Consider the following 17,916-nt stretch of genomic DNA (forward strand, 5'->3'; position numbering starts at 1 on the left):
GCCCAGGAGTTCGAGACCAGCCTGGGCAACATGGCAAAACCCTGTCTCTACAAAAAATAATTTTAAAAAATTAGCCTGGCATGGCGGTGCATGCCTGTAGTCCCAGCTACTTGAGTGGCTGAGGTGGGAAGACCACTTGAGCCTGGGAGGTGGAGGCTGCAGTGAGCTGTATTAGTGCCACTGCACTTCAGCCTGGGCAACACAGCAAGACGTTGTCCCAAAAAAAGGGTAAAGGTTATATCATTAAGTAGCAAGGCATTAAAAGTCCATTAACCTGTGTGCAGCTTCTTTGTTCAGTACATACAGATTTGTACTCTAGCAGCTGGCCATCTAACATAGGGCAGCCAAACAGTGGCCTACTGCATTCCTGATCCCATATCTCCCTAGCTTTAGCCATAATGAGGTAGTGCTAAGGTGGCCCTTGATTCTATAAAGTTCAGGTTTGACTTTTTTTTTAACTTAGGGATTTTACAAAAGACTCTTTGTCTGAGCAAAGCTCATATCTTTCTGACCTCATCCAGGAATAGAAGAAGAGAAAAATGCAATTTCCGTGGGTTGAGCTGAGCACTTTTAAATGTCTGCAGGCTTTCTTGCTTCCCACTTTTCCATTCTTTCTCTGTGGTAGCTAGGACTACAGGAGTGTTGCCACCATGTCTGGCTCATTAAAATTTTTTTTTATTTTTATTTTTTAAGATGAGGTCTGTGTTGCCCAGGCTGGACTCAAACTCTTGGGCTCAAGCCATCCTCCCACCTTGGCCTCCCGAAGCCCTGGGATTACAGATGTGAGCAATTGTACCTGGCTAGAGCAGCAATTCTTAAGAGTGATAAACCAGAAAAAAATTGAGATATTTTAGTCAGAGATCATTTGAGTATTGCCTCGATTTGTTGTGTGACATTGGACAGATCACTGATTCTCTTTTCTCACCGATTCTCTTTTCTCACCTGTAAAATGTACATTTGAAAAGTACAGTGGGGGTCAGGGACACAGGCTCACACTTGTAATCCTAGTGCTTTGGGAGGCTGAGGCAGGAGGATCGCTTGAGACGGAGTTCAAGACCAGCCTGGGCAACATGGTGAAACCCCATTACTACAAAAAATAAAAAAACTAGGCCGGGTGCAGTGGCTCACGCCTGTAATCCTAGCAATTTGGGAGGCTGAGACAGGCAGATCACCTGAGGTCAGGAGTTCAAGACCAGCCTGGCCAACATGGTGAAACCCCATCTCTCTACTAAAATACAAAAATTAGCCAGGCATGATGGCGGGTGCCTGTAATCCCAGCTACTCGAGAGGCTGAGACGGGAGAATCGCTTGAACCCGGGAGATTGTGGTTGCAGTGAGCTAAGATTGCACCACTGCACTCCAGCATGGGTGACTGAGCGAGACTCTGTCTCAAAAAATAAATAAATAAATAAATAAAAATAAATTTAAGAAACCTAGCCAGGCGTGGTAGCGTGTGCCTGTGGTCCCAGCTACTTGGGAGGCTAGGATGGGAGGATCACTTGAGCCCAGGAGGCAGAGGCTGCAGAGAGCTGAGATCACGCCACTGCACTCCAGCCTAGGCAGCAGAGCAAGACCCTGCCTCAAAACCCGCCCCCCCAAAACCCAAAAACTAGCATTATTGGTTCATAGAGTTTGTTTCAAGAATTTTTTCTTTGCAGAGTAAAACACTGTCTTTTTTTTTTTTTTTTTTTTTTGAGATGGAGTCTTGCTCTGTCGCCCAGGCTGGAGTGCAGTGGCGCGATCTCGGCTCACTGCAAGCTCCACCTCCCAGGTTCACGCCATTCTCCTGCCTCAGCCTCCCGAGTAGCTGGGACTGCAGGCACCCGCTACCATACCCGACTAATTTTTTTGTATCTTTAGTAGAGATGGGGTTTCACCATGTTAGCCAGGATGGTCTCTATCTCCTGACCTTGTGATCCGCCTGCCTTGGCCTCCCAAAGTGCTGGGATTATAGGCATGAGCCACTGCACCCGCCAACACTGTCCATTTTTAAGGGAATTTGAGAAAAATAGAAACCATCATACTTTTCTCAAAATTAGGGTTAATCTTGGATTACAAAAGCCTGTCTCCCATCCCAGGACTTCTTTTGGAAATTGTTTTTTAGGGACTGGAGTTCTGGCTCTGTCACTTGAAACAGTCTTAAAACTGGATCTGGGGCCGGGTGCGGTGGCTCATGCCTGTAATCCCAGCACTTTGGGAGGCTGAGGCGGGCAGATCATGAGGTCAGGAGATTGAGACCATCCTGGCTAACACGGTGAAACCCTGTCTCTCTACTAAAAATACAAAAATGAGCCGGGCGTGGTGGCGGGTGCCTGTAGTCCCAGCTACTGGGGAGGCTGAGGCAGGAGAGTGGCATGAACCCGGGAGGCGGAGCTTGCAGTAAGCCGAGATCGTGCCACTGTACTCAAGCCTGGGGGACAGAGCGAGACTCCGTCTCAAAAAAAAAAAAAAAAAAGAAAAATAACTGGATCTGACAAAGAGCCCAGAAGCTTATTGGAGACAGCAGAACCTGGCTGGGATGAGGGAGGGAGCTGGAGAAGCCAAACAGATCACTCTTACCCTGCTCTATTTTGCCATTCCAGGTCGTCTCATCGCTGTCACCTGCCTGGTGTCTAGCTGGTGTCGGTGTCCTTGTGAACCTGGCTAACCCTGTTTACCTTGCTGCCCTGGCCTAGGAGTAGATACAAATTCTCAGGGCCTTGAGGAATCTGGGTTTTAGGGAATATTTTTGAGGGCTTAAAGAAGCTTCTATTCTTAAAGAGCTTTAGTTTGAGTAGATTTGGAATCAAAACAAGGCTCAGAGATCTGCTGGGAGTTACAAGATTTCTCTTTAATTATTGCATCTAGTGTCCCCTGTTTCTACTGAACAAAGCTTGGAAACAGTGAGGAAGAGTTGACATTCTGAGTGTGTCTTACGGGAAGCAAAAACATTTATTGGGCTTATTGTGCCAGATTGTGTGTGTGTGTGTGTGTATGTTATTCTATTACTGTGTTACATGCTTAACTATAGTCACTACAGCAATTCTGATAGTAATCAGGAGGAATAATAAGATACTCTTTTCTTTGAGACAGTCTTGCTGTGTCACCAGGCTGGAGTGCAGTGGCGCGATGTTGGCTTATTGCAGCCTCCATCTCCCAGGTTCAAGCTCCTCCCACCTCAGGCTCCAGAATATCTGGGATTGCAGGCGTGTGCCACCACGCTTGGCTAATTTTTGTACTTTTTTAAAATTTGAGGTGAGGTTTCATCATGTTGCCCAGGCTGATCTCGAACTCCTGGCATCAAGCAATCTGCCTGCCTCAGCCTCCCAGAGTGTTGGGATTACAGATGTGAGCCACTATGCCTAGCCAAGATACCGTTTTACTACTAAAAACAGTTTTGTCTGTTAAGCTGAGTAGTCTCTTCACATACTATTTAGGTCACAACTATTTATTGGGCCACGTGCTGTGGCACATGCCTATAATCCCAGCCCTTTGCTGAGGCGGGAGCATTGCTTGAGCCCAGGAGTTTGAAGCTGCACTGAGCTATGATTCCACCACTGCGCTTTAACCTGGGTGACAGAGTGAGACCCTGTCTCTTAAAAAAAAAAAAAAATTGAACATGGCCTAGATACCAAAAGATGCACTTCCAAGCCACTGGATTGTAAATCTGGTTGGGAAGATACTATGCAGAATACTGGGAGTTACGAAAAGCAGTGTGGGAGAGTAGAAAGAGCAGACATGTGCCTTGCCTATTTTTATTTGATCTGTGACCTTAAACAAATAACCTGAGTCCCAGTTTTCTCATTTGTGAAATGGGGATAATATTACATACTTCGCATGTGTGGCTATAAGACTTTTTAAAGATTTAATACACCGAAAATGCCTGGAACATAATAGATACCCAATAAATGGTAGCTGCTATTATTGTTAGTTAATACAGAGCATAGGAGTAAGACAAACACGTTAGAATCTATTATATTCCAGTCATATTGCCATTTCTTGACACATGCTTTTGACGTTACCTTCTACTTGGTGGCAAATTTTCATCTTTTAAGAGTGAATTTGATTTTTGGAATCACCAAAAAGCAGATTCAGACATAGGTATGAACATTTTCTTTTTTTTTTTTTTGAGGCAGAGTTTTGTTCTTGTTGCCCAGGCTGGAGTGCAATGGCACGATCTTGGATCACCGCAACCTCCGCCTCTTGGGTTCAAGCAATTCTCCTGCCTCAGCCTTCCGAGTAGCTGGGATTACAGGCATGCACCACCACATCTGGCTAATTTTTGTATTTTAATAGAGACTGGGTTTCTCCATGTTGATCAGGCTGGTCTCGAACTCCCGACCTCAGGTGATCCTCCCGCCTCGGCCTCCCAAAGTGCTGGGATTACAGGCGTGAGCCACCGTGCCTGGCATAGGTATGAATATTTTCATTGGTGATGGTGGTGGGGCGACCTCAGAAATGAAATGTGACCATCATATAATAGTGTTTACAGCTCTGACTGATAAACTTGCTTTGGAGGCAATTCCAAAAGAGGTGTTTGCAGTGTTTGAGCAATGAGACTGTTACTGGACATATGTAACTTCCCACAATGAATCTGCTGTATATATTTTGAAAATCGCTCATTGATATTAGAGTAAGTGACATAGCCTGTATATGCTGTGGGAGAGCAGAGGTGGAGGGACTCAGAAGAAAATGGATTGCTTTGGGAAAGCCTTGAGAAGATGGGACTTGGATTGAACCTTGAAGGGTAGGGAGGATTTGGTAGTAAGGGAAGGGGGGATATCAGAATATTGTGAGGGGAGTCACAAGAGCAAAGCATATAATTTGGTTTATTCAGCAAACATTGATTGAGCACCTGCTGTGTGCTGTACATTTGGCTGAACTTGGGAACCCAGAAGGAGGAACTGCTCTGACATCAAGGGGTACACAGTATACTGGGGAAAGAGCACACAGAATAAATAATTATAATAGTCTATTCAAGTGGTAGGTATGCACAAGCTGCAGTGGAAGTGCAGAGGAGGGCTCCTAACCTAGCCTAGCAATAAGAAGGGAAGAGGAGAAGCCAAGCTCAAGCTGATTGGTGTGGTAGGTTACTATGTAAGCAAAGGCTTTGAGACTTTATTTTTTTACTTATTTATGTATTTGAGATGGAGTCTCTCTCTGTTGCCCAGGCTGGAGTGCAGTGGCACAATCTGGGCTCACTGCAACCTCCACCTCCCAGGTTCAAGTGATTCTTGTGCCTCAGCCTCCTGAGGAGCTGGGACTACAGGCACACGCCACCACACCGGGCTAATTTTTTGTATTTTTAGTAGAGATGGAGTTTCATCATGTTGCCCAGGCTGGTCTCCAACTGCTGAGCTCAGGCAATCCTCCCGCCTCGGCCTCCCAAAGTGCTAGGATTATAGACGTGAGCCATCACACCCAGCCACAGTTTGAGACTTTATGATTTAGGCAGTGCAAAGCCTTTGAAAAAACTGGATCAAGTTTTTAGGGAGGTTGGTGAGTTGGTGTTATGCAAAATGAATTTGGAGGGGTAAGAGACAAAGCAAGGAGAACATTCGGAAGGCTTTTGCAGTAGAGAACAGGCTAAATATAAGGAAGACCTGAATTAGAATTGTGGAGGAAGGCATGGAAAAGCAGGAAAAAAATCAAGAACAGATAGGGTTCTGACTGACTGGTAGGAAATGTAAAAAGGCCATACATTTATTCTGAATGTTGGTATCTGGAAGAATGGTGATGCTGTTCAAGTAATAAGGACAAAGGGGAACCAGGCACTGTGAGCCTCTGTGGGGTGTGTTACTCTTTTAGCTCATGTGTTTCAAGTCATTCTACCCCTTGCCGTCTCCACATCCAAACCTAACTACTTTGGATTTTAATTGCAGCTCCTCCACCCCCACCACCTGTGATCCGAAATGGTGCCAGGGATGCTCCCCCTCCCCCACCACCATACCGAATGCATGGGTCAGAACCCCCGAGCCGAGGAAAGCCCCCACCTCCACCCTCAAGGACGCCAGCTGGGCCACCCCCTCCTCCTCCACCGCCCCTGAGGAATGGCCACAGAGATTCTATCACCACTGTCCGGTCTTTCTTGGGTGAGTAGCTAGCTATCTGTAGTCTCATGGTTCCTGCGGTGACTTCACCCACTCCAGTGCCATGGCTGCTAGATGGCCACCATAGAGTGGGAATGGCCACATGGGATCCTTTGTTCACAATAGTTCTCCTGCTGACTTCATCCTCAGAGGTATGGGCTGTGTTCATTGACTTCCTTATCTTGATATGAATTCTAAGCATGGATGCTTTGGAGTAGATTGAAGTAAAATCAGCAAGTGTTGTGCTAACTCTAAATCCACTCCAAAGATCACTTTTTGTAGCTAGCTTTTAGGTCAGAGACTCTGTATCTTCTTTAGGATTATTCAGACAGGACTTATGTATTCTCCTAGGAAGGAGTGTTCCTTTCTAGCTCTTCAAAAACAAAACACTTGATTGTTCTTGGAATTATTATTTTTTAATTATTTTTTATAGAGACTGGGTCTCTGTTGCCCAGGCCGCTGTCAAACTCCTGGTCTCAAGCAGTCCTCCAACCTTGGCCTCCCAAAGTGCTGGGATTACACATGTGAGCCATCACATCCAGCCTTTCCTTGGAATTCTTGAAAAAAAAAAAAAAAAAAAAAAAAAAAAAAAGAAAAGTCCCATGGCACATTGCCTGGAAAGAAAAAAGAAGAAAGAATGACAAAAAATATTAAAGAAAAAAGGATTGGGCGTGGTGGCTCATGCCTGTAATCCCAGCACTTTGGGAGGCCAAGGTGGGAGGATTGCTTTTAGCCCAGGAACTCAAGACCAGCCTGGGCAACATGGTGGAACTTCATCTCTCTAAAAAATACAAAAATTAGCTGGGTGTGGTGGCACACGCCTGTGTTTCCAGCTACTCAGGAGGATTGCCTAAGTCCAGGGAGGTTGAGGCTGCAGCAAACCATTGATCACATCACTGCACCCCAGCCTGGGCGACAGAGAGAGAATCTGTCTCAAAAAAAAAAAAAAAAAAAAAAAGTCGGCTGGGTGCAGTGGCTCACGCCTGTAATCGCAGTACTTTGGGAGGCCGAGGCAGGCGGATCACCTGAGGTCAGGAGTTTGAGACCAGCCTGGCTAACATAGTGAAACCCCATCTCTACTAAAAATATAAAAAATTAACTGGGCATGATGGCACGCAGCCATAATCCCAGCTACTCAGAAGGCTGAGGCAGGAGAATCTCTTGAACCCAGGAGGTGGAGGTTGCAGTGAGCCAAGATTGTGCCACTGCACTCCAGCCTGGGTGACAGAGCAAGACTCCGTCTCAAAAAAAAAAAAAAAAAAAAACAAAACCCAAAACATTACACACATTAATCCAAAGCCACTAACTAGCAGTGTTATTTTGAGGAAGTCACGTTACTTCTCTGGGCCTCACTTCCCTTATTTGTAAAATTAGGTTGACTAGATCAGAAGTGTATCAGATTAACTTTTCCAAGATTATAAATGTTGGGGGGGCTCTACCTAAGAGATTCTGATTCCTTGGTTCTGGGATGTAACCCTAAGTAAAGGTTGTCCATAGGCTATTGTTAGACCCGTCTGTTGAGGACCCTTGGAAGAAATCTCTGAAAGGTCCCTTGCAACCCTAACACTCTAGATTTTTTTTTTTTGAGATAGCGTCTTGCTTTGTCATCCAAGCTGGAGTGCAGTAGCGCAATCACGGCTCACCGCAGTCTCGACCTCCCAGGCTCAAGCAATCCTCCCATCCTTCAGCCTTCCAAGTAGCTGGGACCACAGGTGTGCACCACCATGCCTGGCTAATTTTGTATTTTTTTTGTAGAGATGAGGTTTTGCCATGTTGCCCAGACTGGTCTCAAACTCCTGGGCTCAAGCTACCCACCCACCTTGGCCTCCCAAAGTGCTGGGATTACAGGCATGAGCCACCATGCCCAGCTTCTAGATTCTTTAATGGTTGCTGTCCTTACCTACCCACTGTCCTCCATGTTCTAGTCTATTCCTATTAGGTATGCCAGGGTTTTTGCTTTAAAGATATATCCTTATTGTAGAAACCTTTGGGATGTGATCAAGCCGCACTTACAGAAAATTTGAGCTTTCTGATGGAGGGGCTGTAGAAAGTAGTAGTAGAAGCCATGAGATGGCTGTCCCAACTATGTAAGTGAAGGTAACATGGACTGAAAGGGAATCATCTGGTCAAATCTCTCACTAGTCATAGACAGATATTCCCATTTTAAATTAATTCCTACCAATTTCTGGATTTAGATCAGTTGTTTTCCCGTGGTGACAGTCTGTAAGATGTTATTAAAACCCAGAATTGGCTGGGCCTGGTGGCTTACGCCAGTAATCCCAGCGCTTTGGGAGGCCGAGGCAGGTGGATCACCTGAGGTCAGGAGTTCAAGACCAGCCTGGCCAACATGGTGAAACCCTATCTCTACTAAAAATACAAAAATTAGCCAGGTGTGGTGGTGCCTGCCTGTAATCTCAGGGACGCTGGGGCAGGAGAATCGCTTGAACTTGGGAGGTGGAGGTTGCAGTGAGCCAAGATCATGCCACCGCACCCCAGTCTGGGCAACAGAGTGAGACTCCGTCTCAAAAAAAAAAAAAAAAAAAAAAAGAATTATATTTCTTTCTGCTACCATGCAAACAACTGAGCTCCTTTCCTGTTCTGTGCCTGACTTGGTGGAAAGGTTTAAAGAATCAGCTCAGGCTAGGCGTGGTTCACACCTGTAATCCCAGCACTTTGGGAGGCCAGGTGGGGAGATTGCCTGAGCACAGGAGTTTGAGACTAGCCTGGCCAAGATGGTGAAACCCCGTCTCTACTAAAAATACAGAAAACTAGCCGGGTGAGGTGGTGGGCACCACTGCACTCCAGCCTGGGTGACAGAGCGAGACTGTCAAAAAATAAATAAATAAAGAATGGGCTCAAAGACGCACTACTTAGTACAGAGAGGTTTTGAATACATGCTCTGTGCATGCAAGGCACGTGGGGTGATGCTGCTGCTGTTCTCAGGGTGGTTGGTTTGGTGGGGCAGTAGGTCCTCACAGTACCTCAGAATGCCTGAGAGATTAGTAAGTGGGGAGGGTCGAAGCGATCAGAGGCCTGTGGGAGCACAAGCAAGGATGATAGGAATTAATGTTCTATTCTTTTCGCAGATGATTTTGAGTCAAAGTATTCCTTCCATCCAGTAGAAGACTTTCCTGCTCCAGAAGAATATAAACACTTTCAGAGGATATATCCCAGCAAAACAAACCGAGGTGAGAATAATAATAAGAAGGTTTTTCCATAATTGCATAGAATGTAGAATCTGTGCATTTTCTTAGGTTAAAATTTGCTTCTCGCTGGGCACAGTGGCTCATACCTATAATCCCAGCACTTTGGGAGGCCAAGGTGGGTGGATCACGAGGTCAGGAATTCGAGACCAGCCTGACCAACATAATGAAACCCTGTCTCTACTAAAAATACAAAATTAGGCTGGGCGCGGTGGCTTATGCCTATAATCCCAGCATTTTGGGAGGCTGAGGTGGGCGGATCATGAGGTCGGGAGATCAAGACCATCCTAGCTAACACGGTGAAACCCCGTCTCTACTAAAAATACAAAAGATTAGCTGGGCGTGGTGGCACACACCTGTAGTCCCAGCTACTCGGGAGGCTGAGGCAGGAGAACTGTTTAAACCCAGGAGGCGGAGGTTGCAGTGAGCCAAGATCACGCTACTGTACTCCAGCCTGGGTGACAGAGGGAGACTCCGTCTCAAAAAAAAAGAAAAAAAATTGCTTCTCATCATCTTCGTTGTCCTTTTTTTTTTTTTTTTTTTGAGATAGGGTCTCCCTATCGTCACCCAGGCTGGAGTGCAGTGGTGCCATCTCGGCTCACCCCAAACCTCTGCCTCCCAGGTTCAAGTGATTCTCCTGCTTAAGCCTCCCAAGTATCTAGGATTATAGGCGTGTGCCACCATGCCGGATTATTTTTGTAATTTTAGTAGAGACTGGGTTTTGCCTGGTTGGCCAGGCTGGTCTGAAACTCCTGACCTCAGGTGATCCGCCCGCCTCGGCCTCCCAAAGTGCTGGGATTACAGGCGTGAGCCACCTTGCCTGGCCACTCATCTTCATTTTCTTAGGCAAAACAATAATAACACGTAGTCCCCAGATTTTAAAGGTTAGCTTAAAGAGCCTGTCTCTCATTTTAGGAATGTGTGGGTTGTTCAGATTCTGGTGGGTGACCTGTATGTGTGTGGTCTTTATTTTGTTTTTTTTCAGCTGCCCGTGGAGCCCCACCTCTGCCACCCATTCTCAGGTGAAGCCTGGCTTGGTCCCGTTCCTCAGGAAAAGGATGGACCTTCTCTTCTTCTCAGATGGTCCCTTCCATTCCCCTGAAACCTGCATGAGAGCTCCTAACATGTTTCTCCAATGCAATCAAGCCCTAGACTCCAAATGTCCTCCCAGCTCACCTCCATCTATGCATCTCATCTCTGGATTTGGTGATCAGACTCTATATTGACAGTAGGATCTCAAACCCTGCATCCATCCTTCCTCCAGCAAGCCCTGCTAGCCACATGAGGAACAAGTTTCCGTGTCTTCTGCCTTCCTCTTGGGGAAAGGTGCCTTGTTGTGATGAATTAACTCACTGTTAGGGCAGGGTGGAGAATGGTACTCCTTCCTTCTCCTGTCCACTGTGGGGGAAGCTTGGCAGGTATATTATATTTCATCATTTAGGAGGCTGGCATGACCAGGACTTATGGGTGGGAGGGGAGCATTTTTAGTGAAGCAAGAAAGGAGTTTGCCAAGAAGTGATCTGTTTTAAAGGTCATATTTGGAGAAAGGGCAAGGAATTGGGTCTGCTTTATTTTTGGGGGTATTTTGTTTTTGTTCTCACCTGCTGCCCCCCCACCCCACCACCCCAGGGATAAATTGGATATAAACACTAAATACTAATCAGTTGAACTTAACATTTAATAAAAAGAAAGGGTGAAATAAACTGAAGACCATTTTAGAACTAGTCAGTTCTCTGCAGCAAAGGGAACAGGAGCCATTTGAACCCTCTGGGACCCCTCACCCCACTGCTTCAGGGTGCTAGGCTGAGGGATGTTTTTCCTCCCCCTTACCGCCCATGCCCTTGAAAGAAAAGTCACTTTTTGTGGAGGGCATCATTCATTCCTGATTCACAAACCCCAAAAACCTCTGGTGGGAGATAGGAAGATAGGGCGTGGGCCTGGGCCTTAACCTCAATCTTGTGTCTGCCTCAGTCTTTTCTGACTGGCCCTGAAGTTGTCAGTGGCTCTTTCTGTCCTTCAGCCCCTGGAAGGTGCTCCAGGATAACAAAGAAGGGCAGGTTGAAGCCCCTCATGGAAGGAGCTGGCTTTGTGGGGCTGCAAAGGACTTTTAAGTCCTGCCTGTACTGAAGTTCACAGCCCACCTGACTGAGCAGACTCTTCCTGTTCCTTTCTCTACCACCCTTGCCTTCCCAGGACTGCACGGTTTAACACAGCAGAGTACAGAAGGGTGAAGAAGTGAGCAGAGGCTTATGAAGATATTCAGATACTCTTCTATGCCAGGAAGCACAAAGACTTTGTTGAGATTTGCCTCAGTTCAGTAGATCTTCCTTGGCAGCCAGCCATAGGTTGTTTCTTTGTCTTCCGGGTCCTAAAGAGCACAGAGAAAATGGAGGTCCCCAGTCTAGGTAGGAAGCTGATTGGATGAGGACTTCTTTTTTTCCGACAGCAGGATGGGGCTCTTGGGCTCCACACACCAGATGCTTTGGTTTTCTACAACTGTTGCTATGTGTAGAGGGTGCTCAGAGCGTGGCATGAGAGCAAGGAGACCATGGCTACTCTTTGAAATGGATGGGGAAAATTAGCTTAAAAATTTAATCACGAGATTGCGCCACTGCACTCCAGCCTGGGCGACAGAGCCAGACTCCGTCTCAAAAAAAAAAAAAAAAAAAAAATTTAATCACACACATCACAGGCTTAAACTGTCTTAGAGACCTTTCCAGTTGATTGGATCACAGGCTAGGGATCTGTGCATGGTGCCAGGTGAAACCCAAGTCTCCCCAGTGCTAGGTGAGGGAGGGCTCAACGGGGGTAATGTGTATGGGGTCTGCTGTCCTTTGCCATCCCCTGGACCATATTAACTCTGGGACAGACCATGATTAGGTCTGTCACCAAACTTTTCCTAATCATTTTTTATGTATCATTCTTCTTTCTAATCTGTTAGCAGTTATCTCCCAGAAGTATCCCTAGCATCCTGAAGCAAACAGAACTGCCGGGCGCTGTGGCTTATGCCTGTAATCTCAGCAATTTGGGAGGCCGAGGCGGGCGGATCACCTGAGGTCAGAAGTTCGAGACCAGCCTGTCCAACATGGTGAAACCCCGTCTCCACTAAAAACACAAAAATTATCTGGGCGTGGTGGCATGTGCCTGTAGTCCCAGCTACTGGGGAGGCTGAGGCAGGAGAATCGCTTGAATCCAGGAGGTGGAGGTTGCAGTGAGTGGAGATGGCGCCACTGCGCTCCAGCCCGGGTGACAGAGTGAAACTCCATCTCAGAAAACAAACAAACCAAACAACTGAGAGAGGGCATGCTAGTGGAGGGAAAAGGAGAGAGTACAAGAGTTGATACTGCATCAGAGTTCCAGGGCAGATACTGACAAGTGACTGAACTTTGACTGTGAAGTCTTCCCATTTATTTTTGAAATGGGAGTCGATGCCTTTTGTACGTTATCAAAGTGTTTTTTTTTTTTTCCTCCTTTACTCAGACATAGAGCATCAAAATATCACGAGTAAAGCCAAACCCCAGCTTTTCACTGGGGCTGATATCTTCCTCCCCATGGCCCACTGCCCCCTCATATTCCCCAGCACTTGGACTGTGTCACATGGGTATTGATTGTATACTTGTTGTCTTGGCCTCATGCAAAAAGGCCTGGGTCTAGATCTAGTCAGATGAGTTTTTTTTAGAGCATGTTGATGATACAACACCTGTTTAAATGTCTGCCTTATATGTTATTTGGTCCCACTGTTAATAATAGATTTATTACTATGTATATTTACTATTGAAGATGGGAATGTGATCTGCATAGTTATCAGTCTATTTTGTATGTTGTAAAAAGCTTCTAATTTAGGTTTAAGGTGGGCTGGCTACAAGAGCACTAAAACTCCTCACCTTTTAAACTGCTCTTTTTATCTGCTTGTGGGAATGTCGTCTCTTTCGTGGAAGATTGGGTGGTCTCATGTTGAGGCTGTTGCCCAGTCCCATTAACTCCCTTGTCCCCCCACAGAAGGAAGAGACATTGCCCAGCTAAGCATCAGGAAGCTGTGTTAAAAGCCCTTCTATGGGTTTGGTTTTGTGATGTTTTTCCCTAATGGGAAAAACGTTATAGTTGTTTCTTACTGCCCTGTCTGGGAAGCAGGGCAAACCTCCAGGTTTTTAAATGAGCTAGATGCCCCTCTTCCTCTTCTCTGGTCACTGAACCTGGACCAAAGCACTTTGATATTCCAGGTGTGATTTTCTCTGTCATGGGGATTTGCTCCACTGCAGAGCCCCATCATTTTCACAGCGTAGGCCAACAGAGTGAGAACCTAGGGCTACCCTAGCTGATGGATGTGAGGCTGCTGTCTACAGGAGCTCATCCCAGCCCTGTTAACTGGCAGTGGCAAGGATACTCGTCATCGGCCATTGCACTGGGGAACTCCCTCACCCCATGGCTTCCCAACTTGAAACCCAGATTTACCTCCAGGGAGAGGTGAGAAAAAAATTGTAAATAGACTTGCTAAAGAGCAACTCAGGGTTGGGGTGTGTTTTAATTCTCCTGATCACTTGAAATAATCTGTAGGCTGAGTGCTTATGGGGGTGGGGGAGAAGGGTGACTCCAGGGTCCTTCCATTTTGTGAAGCTCTGGGGGTGGAGTGTGGGCATCTGAGGCCCTATGATGGCACTACATTGAGCTGTCTGCCCTTCCGGAAACCCAACCTGCAATCAACTGCAAATCAAATTCTTCACATTCCAGCTACAGTCTTTCTTTCCCCATTGAATCTCAGTCCCTGGCCATGTGGTCAAGGTGGCTTTCTGTTAAGCTACCCTAATTTCGGGAATGGGAGGGGAGAGAGGAGGGCCATTACAACTCTGCCTTCAAGACTCATCTCTTAAAAACAAAACGAAACAAAACTACAACCACCATCAAAACCACACGCAAAAAAAAAAAAAAAAAAAAAAAGGATAACTTTAACCGAAGGAAGGGTTTGGTTCCATTCAACTCCACATTCATTGTGCCTTTACTTGCATTAGATTTCTGTGCTTTCTTCCTTTCCCTCTTTGAAGCAATTAAAATCTTCCTTGATAACTGCTGTTTCTTTCTACTCTTGTTTCTGGCAATTTAGTGGGTTCCTTCTCTAGTGGTCTTAAATCTCATTCCACTGGTGGCAAGATGGGGCCTAGCCTTCTTTTCACATGTCTAATCTTTTCCTTTCTCATGGTGCCCTCCATGGAAGTCACAGTCAACACTGAATAAATGACTAGAATGACACGTGTGCGTGCGCACGCGTGTGCGTGTGTGTGTTCATCTGTCTGCATGTGGATCAATTTCTTTTAGAAAATAATTTATTGTATGATTTATTTTGGAGTTATATTCTGATTACAGTGCTCCCTCTCCCAAATAGCATTGATTTTTTCCCCCCTCTAAAATGTATAATCTGGTCTCAGGTTGGATTCTTTGGTACATTTCTCTCTTCTGGATGCCATGCAGCTTAATTAAAACCTTGCTTAAAAACAAAAAGTGAAAATTGTGTACTCTTGTCTGGAATACCGCCTCAGGTGGTGGCACAGAGAGGGGAGAAAACCTTTGCCTCATAATTTGGGTAAGTGTAGTGGTTTGATTCCAGGTCCCTTGAAAAAGTAGATCTACTGAATTGGGCAGACTCATCTATAGCTTTCTGAGGGTCTTCTCTCCTCCTCTCCAGCTGTATTTTGAAAATTACAGTTCTAGTTGGCTGGGCGCGATGGCTCATGTCTGTAATCCCAGCACTTTGGGAGGCCAAGGCGGGTGGATCATTTGAGGTCAGGAGTTCAAGACCAGCTTGGCCAACATGGTGAAACCCCGTCTCTACTGAAAATACAAAAATTAACCGGTGTCATGGCGCATGCCTGTAGTCCCAGCTACTCGGGAGGCCGAGGCAGGAAAATCACTTGAACCCAGGAGGCGGAGGTTGCACTGAGCTGAGATCATGCCACTGCACTAAAAAAAAAAAAAAAAAAAAAAAAAAAAAAAAAAAAAAATTCTAGAGTTCTAGTTACCCTTCCTGGGAGATTCTGATGGTCCTTATTTTATTATTATTATTATTTTTTTTTGAGACAGGATGTTGCTGTCATCCAGGCTGGAGTGCAGTGGTGTGATCATAGCTCACCGCAGCCTCCAACTCTCAAGCTCAAGTGATCCTCCCACCTCAGCCTCCCGTGTAGCTGGGACCACAGGTGTGTACCACTATGCCTGGCTAATTTTGAAAATTTTTTTGTAAAGACAGGGTCTCCCTATGTTGCCCAGACTGGTCTCAAATTCCTGGGCTTAAGTGATTGTCCCACCTCAGCTTCTCAAAGTGCTGGGATTACAGGCATGAGCCACCGCACCCAGCCAGTCCTTATTTTATATTTCCACCTAACTCCCCTTTGCCCACGATTTCAGGGAACCTAGGAGGCTTCCTGGCCTTGTGACCTTTTCCTTGAATCTCTTATAATTCTTTCTACCTGTGTTGCATGGCAGATTCTCAGATTGAGGCTAAAGAAAAGAAGGGTGGGGACAAAGCATACAGAATGTGTGTATCTGTTTTTATGTGGGTGTTGGCTGTTTTTCGTCACTGCTTTTTAAGCTGAATCTTAGCTGGTTTTCTTGAACTTTGACTTTAGGTGTAAAAATTCAACCAGACATTCTCTCCTTACTGTGGTCAGCTGACATCATAACCACTAAGGCTTAATGAGCTTAACTTGCACTTTCATCACTAGCAAAGGTCTTGAAGTTATTTCTCTTACTGATTCATAATGGGTGTGTGTATGAATCACTCTCACATAATTTAGATATAAAAACCTATGAGGATGAGGGAGGGAGGGGAAGAAAAAAAAGGACTCCTTTCATTTTCATCCGTACTTCCCAGATGGGCTGAATCTCCGATTATTTGACCCATCATTGTTATTAATATGGTTAATAAACTACCTATTTATTGATTGAATTGTTCCTCCTGACTTGAAATAGCCTGCAAATGGAGCTTGCCTAAATGACCTTCGACTTCCTAACCCTATAATTCATTCTGTCTTCTTGTGATGGTATTGCTAGTGTGTGTGTGTGTGTGTGTGTGTGTGTCTACACACACAGTCACACAAAAGGATGCCAGACAGGTTCTTCCAGTGTGATTTGATTCCTTCTCCATGATACTGTGTATGAGTTAGCAGGTGATAAGGACACTAGTTTTCCTTCCATTACTGAGGCAGAGCTGCTTGCCATGAATGTACCTCTTAAGTATTTCCCAACCCAATCTAACCATGAACTAAACGACCCACTGGAAGAAAGCTGCCTGTCTCCAACTTCCTAGTACTCTGCAAAGAGAGGTAAAGGAACTATGGAAAATGAATTAGAACTAGAAATATGTCAGCCTCAGGATTCTGACTGCCCCAGAGGACAACTGGGGAAATGCTTTGCCTCTGACATCACTGGAGCCCAGTCTGGATCATTTTCACACATAATTGAATTCATTCTCCATTCCTAGGCTTAGGGGTGTGAGACTTAAAAGACTGTATGCTCTCCAGCCACAAGTGTTTATGCAAAGGGTGGATGTCCACTTGGCAAGAATGTCCTTTCCATTCCTTCATTCAGCAAGCTCTTATTGTACACTTTACTCTGTACCAGGCATCTACAATATGAAGATGAAAAGTCTGTTTTTGCCGGGCGCGGTGGCTCACGCCTGTAATCCCAGCACTTTGGGAGGCTGAGGCAGGTGGATCACCTGAGGTCAGGAGTTTGAGACCAGTCTGTCCAATATGGTGAAACCCCGTCTACTAAAATTATGGGCGCCTGTAATCCCAGCTACTCAGGAGGCTGAGGCAGGAGAGTTGCTTGAACCCGGTTGGGTGGAGGTTGCAGTGAGCTGAGATTGTGCCACTGCACTCCAGCCTGGGCGACAGAGCGAGACTCCAAATAAAAAGTCTTTTTTTTTTTTTTCCAACTTGGAAATGGGTCTCCCTATGTTGTCCAGGCTGTCCTCAAACTGGGCTCAAGGGATCCTCCCACCTCAGCCTCCCGAGTAGCTGGAATTACAGATGCATGCCACTGTGCAAGGCTAAGACATGGTCTTTGACTCCAAGGAACTCATAGTTTAGTAGACTTCAGGATAGCTACCAGGAGAAACCTATGCAGGATATTAAAAGGCTTTATGGGAGTTAGCCAGGGAAGATGGATGGTTAGTGGCATTCCAGACAGAGGAAACAGCAAAAACAAAGGCACAGAAGCAAGAAACAATATGATGTGTACGCATCACGTTACTGGAGGATCATTATTAGTGCAAAGGAAAAGCTTCAAGTAGATAACCTTTCAGTCCTGACATTCTGTGATTATTTGCCTGCTTCCACAGTGGTCATTTACACCTGTAGGCTTTTCTTGGGCCACTGCTATGTTTCCTAGTGTCTTCTTTTCTTTTTTTTTTGAGGCGGAGTCTCGCTTTGTCGCCCAGGCCGGAGTGCAGTGGCGTGGCGTGATCTCCACTCACTGCAAGCTCCACCTCCCGGGTTCACACCATTCTCCCGCCGCAGCCTTCTGAGTGGCTGGGACTATAGGCACCCGCCACCACGCCTGGCTAATTTTTTTGTATTTTAGTAGAGACGGGGTTTCACCGTGTTAGCCAGGATGGTCTCGATTTCCTGACCTCGTGATCCACCCGCCTCAGC

General features: G+C 45.9%; 1 protein-coding gene across 9 annotated transcripts in view, besides 2 other annotated features; it reads left to right on the plus strand.

Moving 5' to 3' along the window:
* The window catches only part of WIPF2 (WAS/WASL interacting protein family member 2), a 64,833-nt gene extending 48,625 nt beyond the window's left edge, over positions 1-16,208 (plus strand). For all 9 annotated transcript variants that reach the window (XM_005257083.3, XM_047435499.1, XM_047435500.1 and 6 more), the window contains 3 exons: positions 5,862-6,071; positions 9,155-9,256; positions 10,257-16,208. In XM_005257083.3, the coding sequence (XP_005257140.1) occupies positions 5,862-6,071; positions 9,155-9,256; positions 10,257-10,297 (353 nt within the window). In that variant the 3' untranslated portion in view covers positions 10,298-16,208. The remainder of the gene's footprint in view (positions 1-5,861; positions 6,072-9,154; positions 9,257-10,256) is intronic.
* Positions 13,118-14,054: an enhancer, noted in NCBI's record as "OCT4-NANOG-H3K27ac hESC enhancer chr17:38437298-38438234 (GRCh37/hg19 assembly coordinates)". NCBI's record gives its function as "activates a minimal SCP1, AML or CMV promoter by ChIP-STARR-seq in primed H9 embryonic stem cells {active_cell/tissue: H9 hESC(primed)}" and the evidence as "EXISTENCE:reporter gene assay evidence [ECO:0000049][PMID:30033119]".
* Positions 14,055-14,989: an enhancer, noted in NCBI's record as "OCT4-NANOG-H3K27ac hESC enhancer chr17:38438235-38439169 (GRCh37/hg19 assembly coordinates)". NCBI's record gives its function as "activates a minimal SCP1, AML or CMV promoter by ChIP-STARR-seq in primed H9 embryonic stem cells {active_cell/tissue: H9 hESC(primed)}" and the evidence as "EXISTENCE:reporter gene assay evidence [ECO:0000049][PMID:30033119]".

This window comes from Homo sapiens, chromosome 17 (assembly GCF_000001405.40).
Source record: "Homo sapiens chromosome 17, GRCh38.p14 Primary Assembly".
NCBI lineage: Eukaryota > Metazoa > Chordata > Mammalia > Primates > Hominidae > Homo > Homo sapiens.